Genomic DNA, 15554 nt, shown 5'->3' with positions numbered 1-15554 from the left:
CTGGCTTCCCCTATGCAAGCATTAGAATAAGAGTTCAGGTGAGTGTGACCTGCGTTACAAAGGGCAGTCTTCACCATGAACCGTAGGAAGGGCAGGTGGCCAGTTCTGGAAAGGAGCCAGGAGACCTGGGTCCTTCTTACAGCACCCAGACTGCTGGGGAGGGAGACATGGGCAAGTCCTTTCACCTCTGTGGGAGAAATGGGCTGGTGCTCTTCTGTATCAGTTAGGTGTCTTTTAGTGTCAAGTGGTAGAAAAGAAAGAAAAATCCAAGGCTAGTGCTGGCTTCAGGGCTCTCCTGGATCCAGGGATGCCACTGGTGTGGTCAGGCCTCTGTCTTCTGTTGTGATACTACATACATAAACATTAAGATAAACATAAACATAATAAACATTATTATCCCCCATCTAACATCTCCCTGCTGTGTGGCCTTGGACAAGCCACGAATCCCTGTGACCCTCGTTTCCTCATCTGGGAATAATATTAGATCCCACACGCCACTGCAGTGAAGATTAAACAAGGCAGTTCATGAGAGAGCTTAGCACTCTGTACCTGGTGCATGGTATATAGTAGGTCCTCTGCACTGTGCCTGGTTCATAGTCGATCCTCTGGGCTCTGCTGTCCTCTCAGATGGCCTCATTTTCAGGCAGGCTTTCTCCCCTTGATGGTCTCTACTGGTTCTGTGCTTACAGACTCCTGGCTTGTAGTCCACTCTAAAGAATTTATTTTCGACAAAAAGTCTGGGATGTGGACATGCACCCACGCTCACTGGCTGCAGGCATATGCTACCAGGCAGGAAGCACTCCTCCCAGGGGCTGGAGCCTGGGGAATCCTTTGGGGGAGAATTCTGAGAAGTGAGCAGTCTGCCTGCCTTGCAGGGAGGTTTGGCAAAAAGGGAATGGGGACCAGATTGAAGGTAAGATGTCATTTCCAGGCAGAAGATCGAATAGAGCCTTGCAAGCCCTTGTTTTGAGAGAGGGGAAACCAGGAGAGAGGGAAGACCGTCAGTGTGTATTAGCAACATATACCATGCTCTTCTGTGCCTCTGTGCCTTTGCACATGCTGTTCTCTCTGCTGGGACTTCCTTATCCACTCTGCACACTCCCATGCATCCCTGAGACCCAACTCTTCAATGAAGCTTTCTCTGGCTAAAGTGAAAGCTTTACCCCTCCCCTCCCGCCCCATTTCCCTATCATTAATTGCTTTTCTTTTCTTTTTTTTTGGAGACAGTCTTGCTCTGTCGCCCAGGTTGAAGTGCAGTGGTGCGCAATCTCAGCTCACTGCAACCTCCACCTCCCATGTTCAAGCAATTCTCCTGCCTCAGCCTCCTGAGTAGCTGGGATTACAGGTGTGCCGCCATGCCCAGCTAATTTTTGTATTTTTAATAGAAATGAGGTTTCACCATGTTGGCCAGGCTGGTCTCAAACTCCTGGCCTCAAGTGATCCGCCCACCTCAGTTTCCCAAAGTGCTGGGATTGATTTTCCATTTTTGAACAAGCATCTATTGGGTGGTAGCACTGCGTGCTGGGGATACAAATGAGAATACATGACAGTGCCTGTGTCAGAGTGAGTTTGGTCCTTCCTCCCTGTTCTGCTTCTCCTTTATCAGAGCAGTTACTTGTTACTTATTCAACACATCTTTATTAAGCACCTTGTATTTTTCTGAGCATTGGTCTAGAAGCTGGAGATTCGGGGACAGTGGGAGAGACAATAAAATCAATAAATAATATTAATGAACAAGGTGATATCTTTAATTTCTTTTTTTTTTTTTTTTTTTTTTTTGAGACAGAATCTCGCTCTGTCACTCATGCTGGAGTGCAGTGGCGCAATCTCGGCTCACTGCAAGCTCCGCCTCCTGGGTTCACACCATTCTCCTGCCTCAGCCTCCCGAGTAGCTGGGACTACAGGCGCCTGCCACCACGCCCAGCTAATTTTTTATATTTTTAGTAGAGACGGGGTTTCACCGTGTTAGCCAGGATGGTCTTGATCTCCTGACCTCGTGATCTGCCCGCCTCGGCCTCCCAAAGTGCTGGGATTACAGGCTTGAGCCACCATGCTCGGCCTGAACAAGGTAATTTCTGATGGTGTGTACCTTAAGAAAATAAACACGGGTAAAGGGAGAACAAGAGATGGGGATTAGGGTGGGAGGAGAGTGGTCAGGAAGGAGGGACCCTGTGGAATAAGACCTGGAGAGTGACAAGGAACAAGCATGCAGAGGCCTGCGTGCAGGGCATTCCAGCTGAGGGGAACAGCACGTGCAAAGGCCCTCAGGGGGGTGTGTTCCAGAAATGACAAAAAGCAGGGCTGTAGTGAGAAGAGAGGACAAAGGTTTGGAAAGTGAGGTCAGGGAGATGGACAGTGGCCTGGTCATATAAGGCCTTTAGACTAAGTCATGGGAGTAGATTTTATTCTAAGTGCCTTGAGAAGCCACCGTAGTGATTCTTTTCTAGCTTGGAGGACGCATTCTCCAAGCCAGGCGTCATCCTGTCCCTTAGGTGCACAATTCTCCATTCTCTTTTGGTGCTCAAACTGTGTCATCTAATACAGTAGCCACTTCAAGTAGCTACTAAGAACTTAAAATATGGCTAGTCTGAATGGAGATGTCCTATAAGTCTAAAATATATGTTTTCAAAGACTTTGTATGAAAAACTCTGTCTCATTAATAATTTTTCTTTCAATCCATGTTGAAATGATAGTATTTTGAATATATTGGGTTAAATGACATATGTTATTAAAATTGGGCCAGGCAAGGTGGCTCATAGCTGTAATCCCAGCCCTTTGGGAGGCCAAGGTGGAGGACTGCTTGAGACCAGGAGTTTAAGACCAACCTGCGCAACACAGTGAGACCTCCTCTCTACAAAAGATATTTAAAAAGTAGCTGGGGCTGAGCGCAGTGGCTCATCCCTGTAATCCCAACACTTTGGGAGGCTGAGGCAGGTGGATCACTTGAGGTCCGGAGTTCAAGACCAGCCTGGACGACATGGCAAAATCCCATGTCTACCAAAAAAATACAAAAATTAGCCAGGTGTGGTATTGCATACCTGTAGTCCCAGCTACCTGGGAGGCTGAAGTGGGAGAGTCACTTGAACCCGGGAGGCGAGGTTTCAGTGAGCCAGGATCACGCCACTGCACTCCAGCCTGGACAAGAGAGAGAGACCCTGTCTCAATAAATAAATAAATAAAGTAGCCAGGTGTAGTGGTGCGCAACTGTACTCCCAGCTACTCAGGAATCTGAGGCGAAAGATCACTTGAGCCCAGGAGGTTGAGGCTGCAATAAGCTCATGACTGCACGTCAGCCTGCATGACACAGTGAGACCCTGTCTCTAAAAAAATTAAATTAATTTCATGTGTTCCTTTTAACTTTTTTCCTGTGGCTGCTGACAATTTGAAACTCCATGCATGGGTTGCACTGGGTTATATTTCTGTTGGCCAGCACTGCCCTTCAAGCACCTTCAGCCATTGCTTTTACCTTCATGGGTTATAGTCACCTCTTGACTTGTCTGTGCTCCTCCTTGAGGACAGTGACCCCAGCCGGTTGGTGGAGTCCTCAGGCACCACATTGGTGCTCCCCCTGGGTCCCCTTGGCGCACCCTGGTTCCCTGCACCCTGCACCCTGCAAACCCTCAGGCTGCTGCTCCTGAGGGTTTCTTTGGCATGCTCAGGCTGCATGCAGGGCAGGTCAGAAGTGCTGGGAGTTCACTCCCCAGGAGCAGCCCTCAGCCAAGGAAGGAGCAGAGTTGGAGAATACACACTCCATCATCCTGCTTCTCAGGTGCACAGCTCTGAGGTGTGTTCTCTAGCATCTCCCGAAGGTCACCTTCAGTGGTAACCTGCTCTGCAGTACACCCATTGTTGGCTTCCTTTCTGCCGCTGTTTTATTTCCCCATTCATCTAGTTGGGATCACTTCCCAAATAGACTCCTTGTACTCAGATCCTCCTTCCAGGCTGGGCTTCTGGGGGAACCCAACCTGAGACCTGGGGTGCCCAACAGGTAGGTGCTTAGTAGGAGGAGAGGGCCTGTCCCTCCAGCACATGTCTGGTGCAGGCTAGCTGCCCACTGTCAGGGGTGGGGAGTAGGGTGAGGTCGCAGGGGGATCCTGGCCAGTCTCCTGCAGCCTCTAGACCTTGAGCCTGAGGACAAGGAGCAGTGACATGAGTGTGCCAGGCTCAGGGCGTGGTGTCTGGCTGGTCCCTAGTGCCTCTAGCTGCCACACCCAGAGGGACAGTTGAATCAGCCACTGAGTTAGTGAGGGCAGAGCCACCCTGATGAGCACTGGCCTCTTGTGTCACTGTGGCAGTAGGGCCCGGGGAGTGTCTCAGCAGGAATGGCACAGGCAGCGTCCAGCATCTCTGGTGAAGTAGAGTGTTTCCAGGTGCAATGTCTTCTTTCTGACACCACTTCTGACTCCAAATGTTTGGGGTTTTCTCTATACCAAGCAATTCTCCAATTTTCCTACCCGAACTACATGTTCAACAACTGAATTTAATTCTGACCCTAACTGTCTGGAATTAGGGCAACCCCCACAATTCTGTGGGCTCAGTCCCATAGAACAGCTCCCACTTCAGATGCCAGTCACAATTCCCAGAGGCTGCGTGTGTCTGACCAACCAGCTATAAATTGAGAGGTTTCCACAATTTCCTTCTCAAGTGTGATGATTGGCTAGAACTCACAGAACTCAGGAAAATACATCTACAGCCATACCACCCTGAACACGCTTGATCTCGTCAGAACTCAGGAAAATACTTACTATTACTGGTTTATTATAAAGGATACAACTCAGGGACAGCCCAATAGAAGCGATGCTAGGGCCAGGTATGGGGGAGGGGGCGGTGGTACAGTCTCCATGCCCTCTCGGGACGTGCCACCTTCCCGGAACATGGCTGTGCTCACCCACTAGAAGCTCCTTGATCTCTGTGGTTTAGGGGTTTTTATGGAGGTTTCATTACATAGGCATGATTGATTAGATCATTGACCATTGGTGATTGAGCTCTATCTTTAGTCCTTCTTCTTCCCCCAGACATCTTTTTGGCCGTCTCATTAGCGTACAGAAGACACTCTTACCACTCAGGAGGCTGCAAGAGTTCTGTGCCAGAAGTCAAGGACAAAGACCAAATCTATTTTTTATGATACCACAATGATCTCATAATATTAATGAGATCAGATGAGAAAACATGTGGAAAGGCCTGTGACTGTGAGTTGCCCAGATCATGGCATGTTATATGTGTGCACATTTATTGGAAGGAAGTAGGGAGGTGACAGATCTTGCTGTCTAGAACTGCTAATATGCATTTGACAGACATCTGCAGGGCACCTACTGTGTGTTCATGCGGTGCCCAGGGCAGGCCCAACATTGCAGCCAGACTGAACCTTCTCAGCATCAAAACTGTTCGTGTCCATTGCCGTCTTAGAAACTCTCCCTCACTTTTAAAGCAACAACCAAATTCCTTGACATGACATCCAAGGTCTTCCTCGGCCACCCTTGCCTACCCGTCTGACCTCAGCTCCAATCCCTCCCTGCACGTGTTATTTGTTTTCATTGCACTGAGCTATTTGCACCACTCCACATCTATGTGCGTGTCAAGCCTCCGTGCACTTGCACCTGCTGTACTCGTGCCTGGACCATCCTTTGCCAGCCATCCTGCTAGTTAACCTCCTTCAGGAGGCAGCTCAGTGTCACCTTCGCCGTGAAGTCCTTCCTGATTTCCTCTTTACCATTGCCTTGTCCCTTCTTCTGTGTCCCAGTATCTATTTCTTTTAGTGCTTCCATCATTCATCAGTCACTTGCTTTATTAAAGGAATTGCACCATTAACTATATAGGAATCCCTGCTAATATTTGTCAGCATTGAGGCACTCTCGTTTAATCCTCATGGCCACCCTATTAAGTAGGCACTACTATTAACCGCATATTTCAAAAGTGCAAACTGAGGATTAAGAGGTTAACAGAGATAGTCAGTAGTAGAGCAAGGATGTACAACCCAAGCAATCAGATTCCAGAGCTCTTTTACCTCACTGGGAAACAACATTATCTTTTACTGTTCTGCATTATGTTGTAACTGTCTGTTTACATGGCTGTCTCCCTGTATCAGTCAGGGTCCCAGGAGGAAACAGACAGCACACTGGAAATAGGGTAATCCGAAGAGAGTTTAATAAGAGAGAAGTGTGGGCAGTGGGCAGGGGGACCATAGAGATTAGTCGGGCACCCAGATCCTCAAAGGTCTGAAGGGGTGAGAGAGAGGAGGCCTCTGGGAAGCAGGAGCCAGAGAGGCTGTGTGGAGAGCACCCTGAGACACAGCCGGGAGGGCTGGAGCCTGGAGAGCAGGGGAGCACTCCCCTCCTCTGACTTTCTGCTGGCTGCATTTTACCACATGCCTTTGCCTGAATCCAGGTAGAAGCCAGAGGGTGGAGGAGCCCTGAGATGTGTCTGGAGCAGGTCAGCAGGAGAAGGAGGGTACAGAGTGGGCCTGGCAGGCCATCTGCATACTCTGATTGACCATAGGCTCCTTGAGAGCTGGGGCCCTGTATTGCTCACGTTTACATCCCGGTACTCAGCACAGAGGCCAGCAGGCAGGAGGCGCTTGGTCAGTGCGTGTCAAATGAATAAACAACAAGGGACTGATCTTCAGTACAAAACACCCCTTCTGCAATGTCTGCTTGTCGATCACACATGGTCTCAGGAATTCTTTTTTTTTAATTTAATTTTTGGGGAACAGGTGGTGTTTGGTTACTTGAATAAGGTATTTAGTGGTGATTTGTGAGCTTTTGGTGCACCCATCACCTTGTGTGAGCAGTATACACTGAACCCAATTTGTAGTCTTTTATTCCTCACCCCCTTCCTACCCTTTCCCCCTGAGTCCCCAAAGTTCACTGTATCCTTCCTATGCCTGTGCATCCTCATAGCTTAGCTCCCACTTTTGAGTGAGAACATATGATATTTGGTTTTCCATTCCTGGGCTCAGGAATTCTAAGTGATGTATGTGTGTTTGTCTGTCCATGCTATTTGTGAGGTTTGTCATGGGGAAGATGATGGCAAAGTCCATTCAACTCTGAGATGATCTGATTCTTTTCTGTGGTTCTCGCAAAACTTTTCACATCTCTTGCCCCATTTCAACTTGGATGTGAAACTGGAGAGCAAGACTTTTTTTTTTTTTTTTTTTTTTTTTTTGAGATGGAGTTTTGCTCTTGTTGCTGAGGCTGGAGTGCAATGGTGCGATCTCATCTCACCGCAACCTCTGCCTCCCGGCTTCAAACGATTCTCCTGCCTCAGCCTCCCAAGTATGTGGGATTACAAGCGCCTGCCACCACACCCAGCTAATTTATTTTATTTATTTATTTATTTATTTTGAGACAGAGTCTTGCTCTGTTGCCAGGCTGGAGTGCTGTGGCGCAATCTTGGCTCACTGCAACCCCTGACTCCCTGGTTCAAGCGATTCTCTTGCCTCAGCCTCCCGAGTAGCTGGGACTACAGGCACGCGCCATCATGGCCAGCTAATTTTTGTATTTTTAGTAGCGACGGGGTTTCACCATGTTGGCCAGGCTGGTCTGGCACTCCTGACCTCATGATCCACCCACCTCGGCCTCCCAAAGTGTTGGGATTACAGGCGTGAGCCACCGTGCCAGGCCTTTTTGTTTTGTTTTTAAGGAAGCAAGTATAAATGCCATGCTCTTCTTGCTCCAGCTGCATACAGCCACAATTACTGAGATGACTGGGCCTTGTCCTATAGCCTTTGCCTGAATTCCTGAGATAAAGGAAAGAAAAGCAGCCTGGATGCGGATTCCACCAGGCCCTGGCTGTGTGGACCCAGCAGGATGCTCTGGCATTCAGGGTGGAGCACCCAGCCCAGCCTTGTGACCACATCTCCACGCCTTGTGGTTAGGAGGCCCTATCTGTGCTTCCAAATGGAAAGTATCAGAATAGCTCCCAACCAGAGAGAGAGGAGAGAAACAACCTGAATTACTGTAGTATGTGCATCTGGGAGCCCACATTTCCTGGAAGCTCTAATTCCAAATTGATTATGTCTTTTTGTTGTTGTTGTTAATTTGTGTATGGCGTGCCAATGTGTATTTATGTCTCTGAAGAGGCAGGGGTAGAGGTAAATTAACTCCCCGCCTTCCCCACTACTCCTCAGGACATCAGATCACATGGAAATGTATGTTTTCCTGTTTATTATTCATTTCTCAGGCACATCAGCAAAGGTATGGCTGTAGACAGCTGATGTAGAAAACAGTCCTGGCTTTGAAATCATGCTTTTTAGTATTTAACCTCTCTGTGCCTCAATTTCCTTGTGCATAAGGTGGGGAACATCTTATGCCACTCACAGGATAGTGTAAGAATTAAAGGAGATTTAAAAAAACAAAGGAGTAGAGGTTGAGTGAAGGCAGGTGGGCAGTCATGGGAACTCCCTTCTTTGCCCTCCATTTCTTGCTGGTAGGACTTCACTTGCCTAAACTTTCTATTAACACATTTCAAAGCACTTTCCAGTGAAACCAGAGGGAGGAGACCTTTTTTTTTTTTTCCCTCGAGAGTCCAACTTATACTGGAGAGCAGTGGCACAATCATAGCTCACTGTAACCTCGAACTCCTGGGCTCAAGCAGTCCTTCAGCCTCAGCCTCTCCAATTGCTGGGATTACAGGCATGAGCCACTATGCCCAGCTCATTTTGCTTGCATTACTTTTTTTTTTTCCTCTGCTGCTCCCCCACCCCTAACCATAGCCAGACCCCTTGGGCCTCTCTTCCCAGCAGTTCTCCAGGGTCTCACTCTCCATGGCCCATTCCTGCAGTGGCCAATAGAATATTAACCAGGGAGGGCGCATTATCCTCCTAACGCCTGGGGGATCCAAGGGTTTAGAGCCCTGCGACTAAGCACAAGACAATAACCATAAACCATCCCTGACACTGGCCTAGGTTCTTTGCGCCTGCTGATCCCCAAGTGCCCACCAGGGAAGGCAGCTGTCTTAAGTAGCCCCAGGCTGAGAGTGGCAATATGGAGCAGTTAGGAAACCGGAGCCATAAATGTGCAAGTGGACGAGGTGAGGCAGCCAGTGATGAGTCCAGTTAGGCTAAGATCCCAAAGCTGACTTTGCTAAGAGGCAGATTCCTGAAGGGGGCCCACAAATGATTCTTTTTGTGGAATCCTCTTTCACATGTTACCTTGGAGGTAGTCTTGGATGTCTTGTGTTTGGGGGCTCTGTGAACAGCGACACCACTATCCTTAAGGGATAAATCATTGCAGCTCTGTTATCCTCTTTGTGTGAAAAGAAGCTGGATGCACTGGGCTCCTGACCTTTTCCAGGACTAGGAGGTTGGGCACCTCCTGTGGAAGCTGCAACCATGGTACAGGTCAGGATTCAGACACACTTGCTCAGCGCAACTTTAACATCTGTGCTGCTTCCCCATCGGGAAGCAAGTGATGATGATGCCAGTTCGCTGAGCTGGGCAAAACTTGCATTTTATTAAAGTCGACAAGTATGTAAGCTTGTTAAAAAGCAATTATACAAAATAATATAGCCACCTAGACCAAAGCTTGACCCTAACTAAATGCCTCGGCCTCCCAAAGTGCTGGGATTACAGGCGTGCGCCACCGCGCCCGGCCTAGTCTTGAACTTTTGGGCTCAAGCAATCCTCCTGCCTTGGACTCCCAAGGTGCTGGAATTACAGGTGTGAGCCACTGGTCCCAGCCCTATCCTTTTATTTTAATTAACATCATCAGAGAAATAATATTTTTAGTATTAGCTTCATGGAAAACAATGAAGATTCACATACGTAGTAAAATCTCAGTTCTTTGGATTGAAAGAACATTTATGGGCTACATATGTTGTACTCTCACATATCTTATTTAATGTTTATAACAGCCTCTGAAGTTGCTGTCATTAGCCTCATTTTAGAGATGAGGAAAGTATGTCTAAGTTGATTCTTTTGCCCAATGTCATGCAATCTGTAAATAGTAGGGCAAGGATTTGATTGCAGGTCTTTTGACTTCTAAGTTCTGTGCTTAGCTTGGACATGGCTGCTTTTTTTTTTTTTTTTTTTTTTAAAGGGAGTTACACTTTCTCCAAGGCCTTTGAGCACCAAATATTTTTTAATTTTATATTATCTTTGCTGATTTGATTGGAAACTCTTATAAAGATCTGCATCCAGCATGGTATCTTGAATATAGCATCATGCCTAAAACCTTTTTTTATTACACAGGTTTATCTTTTTTTTTTTTTTTTTTTTTTCTGGAGACTCCATCTCACTCTGTCACCCAGGCTGGAGTGCAGTGGCACGATCTCGGCTCACTGCAACCTCTGCCTCCTGGGTTCAAGCAATTCTCCTGCCTCAGCCTCCCAAGTAGCTGGATTACAGGTGCATGCCACCATGCCTGGCTGTTTTTGTATTTTTTGTAGGGACAGGGTTTCACCATGTTGGCCAGGCTGGTCTCAAACTCCCAAACTCAGGTGATCCACCCTCCTTGGCCTCCCAAAGTGCTGGGATAACAGGCGTGAGCCACTGCACCTGGCCAAGTTTATTATTTTGAATATCACTTATTTGAGGTTGGGATCGGTTGAGTAGAGTGTTTTTCACTAATTAGCAGGCCCATGTATTTAGAATTTATTTTTTGTGGAATGGTGTATTAGTAAATTTCTAGTTTGTGGTGGTACATTTTCCTCCCTTCCTTGTAGCCCCTTTTCACTATTCCCAGCATAACTGCTGTGTTCAGTTTGTTGAAGGTCTAAAAACTAGCTCACCAAACTTGTTAGAATTTTGAGTATGGTAAGAGAAAATGGGAGCAAGTGAAAGCTCAGAGGGTGCACCTGTGATTAAAATCCATAGGTTTTGTATGCAAAAAAAAGCCATTCATAATGAATGTGTCTGTCTAGAGATTTACATGGTTTTTTTTTTTTTCTGGCTCTTGTTTTCCAGAAAAGATGAGACTCTGTGTGTGTGTGTGTGTGTGTGTGTGTGTGTGTGTGTGTATATGTATTTCTGTGTGTGTGGGGGGGTGTCTGTGTGTGCTTATGTCTGTGTCTGTGTGTGGGTCTGTATGTGTGTATGTGTGTGTGTGTCTGTGTGTATGTGTGTCTGTGTCTGTGTATGTCTGTGCGTATGTGTGTATGTCTGTGTGTGTATATGCCTGTGTATTTGTGTATGCGTGTGTGTCTGTGTATGTGTGTCTATATGTCTGTGTATGTGTCCATGTGTCCATATGCATGAGTGTGCTCTCTCAGAAAAGGAAAGAGTGGGGTAAAAATTCCAGCCAAGTCCTGGAGAAAGGACTGTAATACATTTCAATCTGAATTCTCTCTCAGGCAACAGCCTGTAACAGAAAATAAAACCAGAATTTTTGCCCTCATAAGGAATATTTGGGTTACCAGCTCTAGCCATCCATAGTGCATACAAAATTAGATATATCAAGCTACAGAAAAAAACTGTGGAAAAATCTTTTCTTCCTGCAAATGTTTCATCCTCACTTATGTCATTGTGGCTTGAATTCTAAAGAACCCTGATGAGAAAGAAGGAAAACCAAAGAAAAGCCACTCTTTACCAAACAGTACTGTATCAACCTGCTGTTGGGGTATAGATAATACACTGGTAGGTATCACATCTATTTTATGTAAACAAATTAACAGCAAACCTGGGGTTCTGTTTCAGCTGTGGCAAGCCCATTGCTGTTTGTCTCTTTGGCAGGGAACATTATTGTGGAATTTTAAATGATTGCTCTGGAGAGATTGGGCAGAACATTGATTTTAAAGCAAAGAAGTCTTTGAGCTTTATCATCTTCCTTCCTGTGTGGAATCTGCCTTGTCTCCTCTCCCTTAGCCAAATTGTGCAAGGGTTGTGTAAATAAATTTGCTTCTTCAGAAATCCATTCTGTGGGAGCCTGTTGGCTCCTCTGTGACTGTATCTCTGAAACAATTTCTGAGATGAAATTTAAGTGCTTATAAAATGTAATGCCTGTACTTGGTGAATTGAGACCAGTCTTTTCAGTGATTCTATAATGCCACAAAATAGGCCTGTTGCATGTCTTCAGAAGAATTCAGTAGGATCCCTAAGCCTCTTAAATATACAATCCCAAACACAGAGGACTAGTTGGGAAAATGACTCTGGTAGAATGCTTCTCATTTGACCACTTCTGAGATAAGCCGTTTTCATATATTCTTAGTTGGTTCAGCATTTTCATGGGCCCATTATATAAATTAGGATTAGATTTCAACTCTGTACAAACAAAAACCCAAATAACATTAGCAATTATGTTTGTTTGTTTGTTTTCCCTCTCTGACCAGAGAAGTCTGGAGGTAGTTCAAAGCTAGTCAGTGCCTCCATGGTTATCAGGAGCCCAAGCCTTTTCTGTTTCCCTGGTTCTACTCTCTTTATCATATTGCTTTAGGATCCCAAATGGTTGCTGGAGTGTCAGCCGTCACAACCACATTACAGTAGGCAGCAAGATGCAATAAGAAGGGAAGGATAACAGGAGTCCTCTTCCAGCTGTGTTAGCCCTTTTTAAGGCACTTTACCAAAACTCCTACATAGCATTTCTGCTTACATCTCACTGGCTAGATTTAGCCATATAGCCACCTTAGCTGTAAGGGAGGCTGGAAGATGAGTCTTTTAGCTAAACACATTGCTGCCCCGAATCAAACTGGGGCTCTGTTAGTGAAGAAACGGGGACTACATAGCAGGTACATAACTGGTAGTCCTGCCACATCAGCAGAGTACCATTTGTACAGAGAGTGCGGTTTAGTGCAAAGGGCTTGAACTTTGAAATTAGATAGACTTCTGTTTGAATCTTAACTCTACCACTTACTCATTTCAGCACCCTAGGTCTAGCACTTAACCTCTCTGAGTCTCAATTTCCTATCTATTAAACATGAGGAGAATAATAGCTACTTTGTAGGGTTGCAGTGAGGGTTAAAGAAAATCATAAATAAATTGCCTTGTATATAGTAGATACTAAATCATCGTCATTCTAGTTGTTATTAACAGGTAAGGTATGCCTTCCATCTTCACCACCATAGTGGTTATTTTAAAATTGAGATAATTCATATAAAATTTGCACTTTTAAGATATACAATTCAGTGGTTTTTAGTGTATTCACAAAATGATAGAACTATCACCATTGTCTATTTCCAGAACATTTTTGTCACTCCTCACAAGAAACCCTGTACCCACTGGTAGTCATTGCACATTACCACTTCCCCCACAGCCCCTGATAACCACTAATCTGCTTTCTGTCTCTATAGATTTGCCTAGTCTGGACCTTTAAGGTATCATACAGTATGTGGTCTTTTGTATCTGACTTTTGACTTAGCATAATGTTTCCAAGTTTCATCCATGTTGTAGCATGTGCCAGTACTTTATTACTCTTTATGGCTGAATAATATTCCATTGTATGGATATACCACATTTTGTTTATCCATTTGTTTGTTCATGAACGTTTGAGCTGTTTCCATTTTTTTGAATGTTAAGAATGATGCTGCTGTGAACATTGGTGTACAAGGTTTTATGTGCACATATGTTTTCATTTCTCTTGTGTATATACCTAGGAGTGTCTTAGTCAGTTTGGGCTGCTATAACAAATTACCCTAGACTGGATGGCTTACAAACAACAAATGTATTTCTCTCAGTTCTGAAAGCTGGAAGTCTGAGATCAGGGTACCAGCATGGTTGGATTCTGGTGAGGCCCTCTTCCCTTGCAGGCTGCTGACCTCTCATTGTGTCCTTATATGGCTGAAAAATAGCTAGAGAGCTGCTCTCTGTTTTTTTTGTTTGTTTGTTTGTTTTTGAGATGGGGTCTTGCTCTGTCACCCCCCAGGCTGGAATGCAACGGTGTGATCTCAGCTGACTGCAACCTCCGCCTCCTGGGTTCAAGCTATTCTCCTGCCTCAGCCTCCTGAGTAGCTAGGATTATATGTGTGCGCCACCATGCTTGGGTAATTTTTTGTATTTTTGGTAGAGACGGGGTTTTGCCATGATGGCCAGGCTGGTCTTGAACTCCTGATCTCAGGTGATCTCCCCACCTCAGCCTCCCAAAGTGCTGGGATTACAGGCGTGAGCCACTGTGCCCGGCCTGGGGTCTCTTTTATAAGGCACTGTTCCCATTCATGAGGGCTCCACCCTCATGACTTAATTACCTCTCAAAAGTGTCACGTTGTAATACCATCACATTGGGTTAGGATTTCAACATGTGAATTTGGGTGGGACACATGCATTCAGTCCACAATAGTAAGCAGTTGCTGGGTCAGATGATAACACTTGGTTTAACCTTTTGAGGAGTTGCCAAATTGTCTTTCAAAGCTACTCCACCATTTTACATTCCTACCAGCAATGTGGTGGGTTCCAGTTTCTTCACATCCTTGACAATACTTGTCAATTTCCATCTTTTTTATTACAGCCATCCTAGTGGGTGCAAAGTGGCATTTCATTGTGTTTTTGATTTGCATTTTCCTAATGTTTAGTGATGTTCAGCATCTTTTCATGTGCTTATTATCCACTTGTATATCTTTGGAGAAATGTCTATTTAACCCCTTTGTCCACTTTTAAATTAGTTATTTATCTCTTTATTGTTGGGTTGCAAAAGTTTATATATTTTGAATACTAGGCCTTTATCAAATACAAGTTGAGCATTCCCAATCTGAAAATCCCAAATGTGAAATTCTCCCAAATCCAAAACTTTTTGAATGCCAACATGAGATGCTGACACTTTTGCTTTCTGATATTTCATTGTATACAAACTTTGTTTCCTGCTCAAAATCATTAAAAATATAGTATAAGATTACCTTCAGGCTATGTGTATAAGGTTTATATGTAACATAAGTGAATTCTGTGTTTAGTCTTGGGCTCCATCCCCAAGGTGTCTCATTATGTATATGTAAACATTCCAGAAATAAAAAAAAATATCTGAAACACTTCTGGTCCCAAGCATTTCAGATAAGGAATACTCAACCTGTATACGATTTGAAACTATTTTCTCCCATTCTGTTATGTGTATTATCTAATTGATTCTGTATAACAATCCTTTGACGTAAATATCATTATCCCCATTTTACGGATGAGGAAGCTGAGGCCCTAAGGCAGTGAACAGCTTGCCTAACATAACACATCTAGTAACTGTGAAGATGGTACTGGAACCCAGGAAAAGATTAGCCAGGGCTTTTTTAGTATTAGTGGTAGAAACCCAACTCAGACTAGCTTACACTAAAAAAGAAGTACAGTTGCTCACATTACTAGGAAGTCCAAGGGTTGGACTAACATTAGGCATGGGATAGATTTTTGTGGATCCAGTGGTTCAAATGAGGTCACCACGACTCTCCCGCATCTCTTGCCATCTTTTGGTTATGATCATTCTTAGGCCAGCTCTCTGATGTGTGGCAAAGATGGTCACCAGTAGCTGAAGGCCTACTAAGTCTTAGAGAGAAAAGGCATATTCCTCTGTATCCTAGCATCTATATCAGTCCTCCATGAAGGATTCTGGTTGGCCATGCTTGAGTTAAATGCCTGTTCTAGTACCCATCATTGCTGTTATCAGGATTCTGGAATACTCTGATTGGACAGCCTGGGTCCAGCCCTTTAGTTGGGA

At 45.2% G+C, this 15554-nt stretch overlaps 1 protein-coding gene across 18 annotated transcripts in view, besides 1 other annotated feature; it reads left to right on the top strand.

Annotated features, from left to right (window-relative positions):
• ASAP1 (ArfGAP with SH3 domain, ankyrin repeat and PH domain 1) overlaps positions 1-15554 on the top strand; it is a 391571-nt gene that overhangs the window by 59610 nt on the left and 316407 nt on the right. The gene's annotated exons all lie outside the window — the stretch shown is intronic.
• Positions 7535-8111: an enhancer, noted in NCBI's record as "H3K27ac-H3K4me1 hESC enhancer chr8:131388200-131388776 (GRCh37/hg19 assembly coordinates)". NCBI's record gives its function as "activates a minimal SCP1, AML or CMV promoter by ChIP-STARR-seq in naive H9 embryonic stem cells {active_cell/tissue: H9 hESC(naive)}" and the evidence as "EXISTENCE:reporter gene assay evidence [ECO:0000049][PMID:30033119]".

The sequence above is a fragment of the Homo sapiens genome, chromosome 8 (assembly GCF_000001405.40).
Source record: "Homo sapiens chromosome 8, GRCh38.p14 Primary Assembly".
NCBI classification, from domain to species: Eukaryota; Metazoa; Chordata; class Mammalia; order Primates; family Hominidae; genus Homo; species Homo sapiens.
The sequence above is the reverse complement of the archived record's forward strand: the minus strand, read 5'-3'. Positions and strand labels throughout refer to the sequence as shown.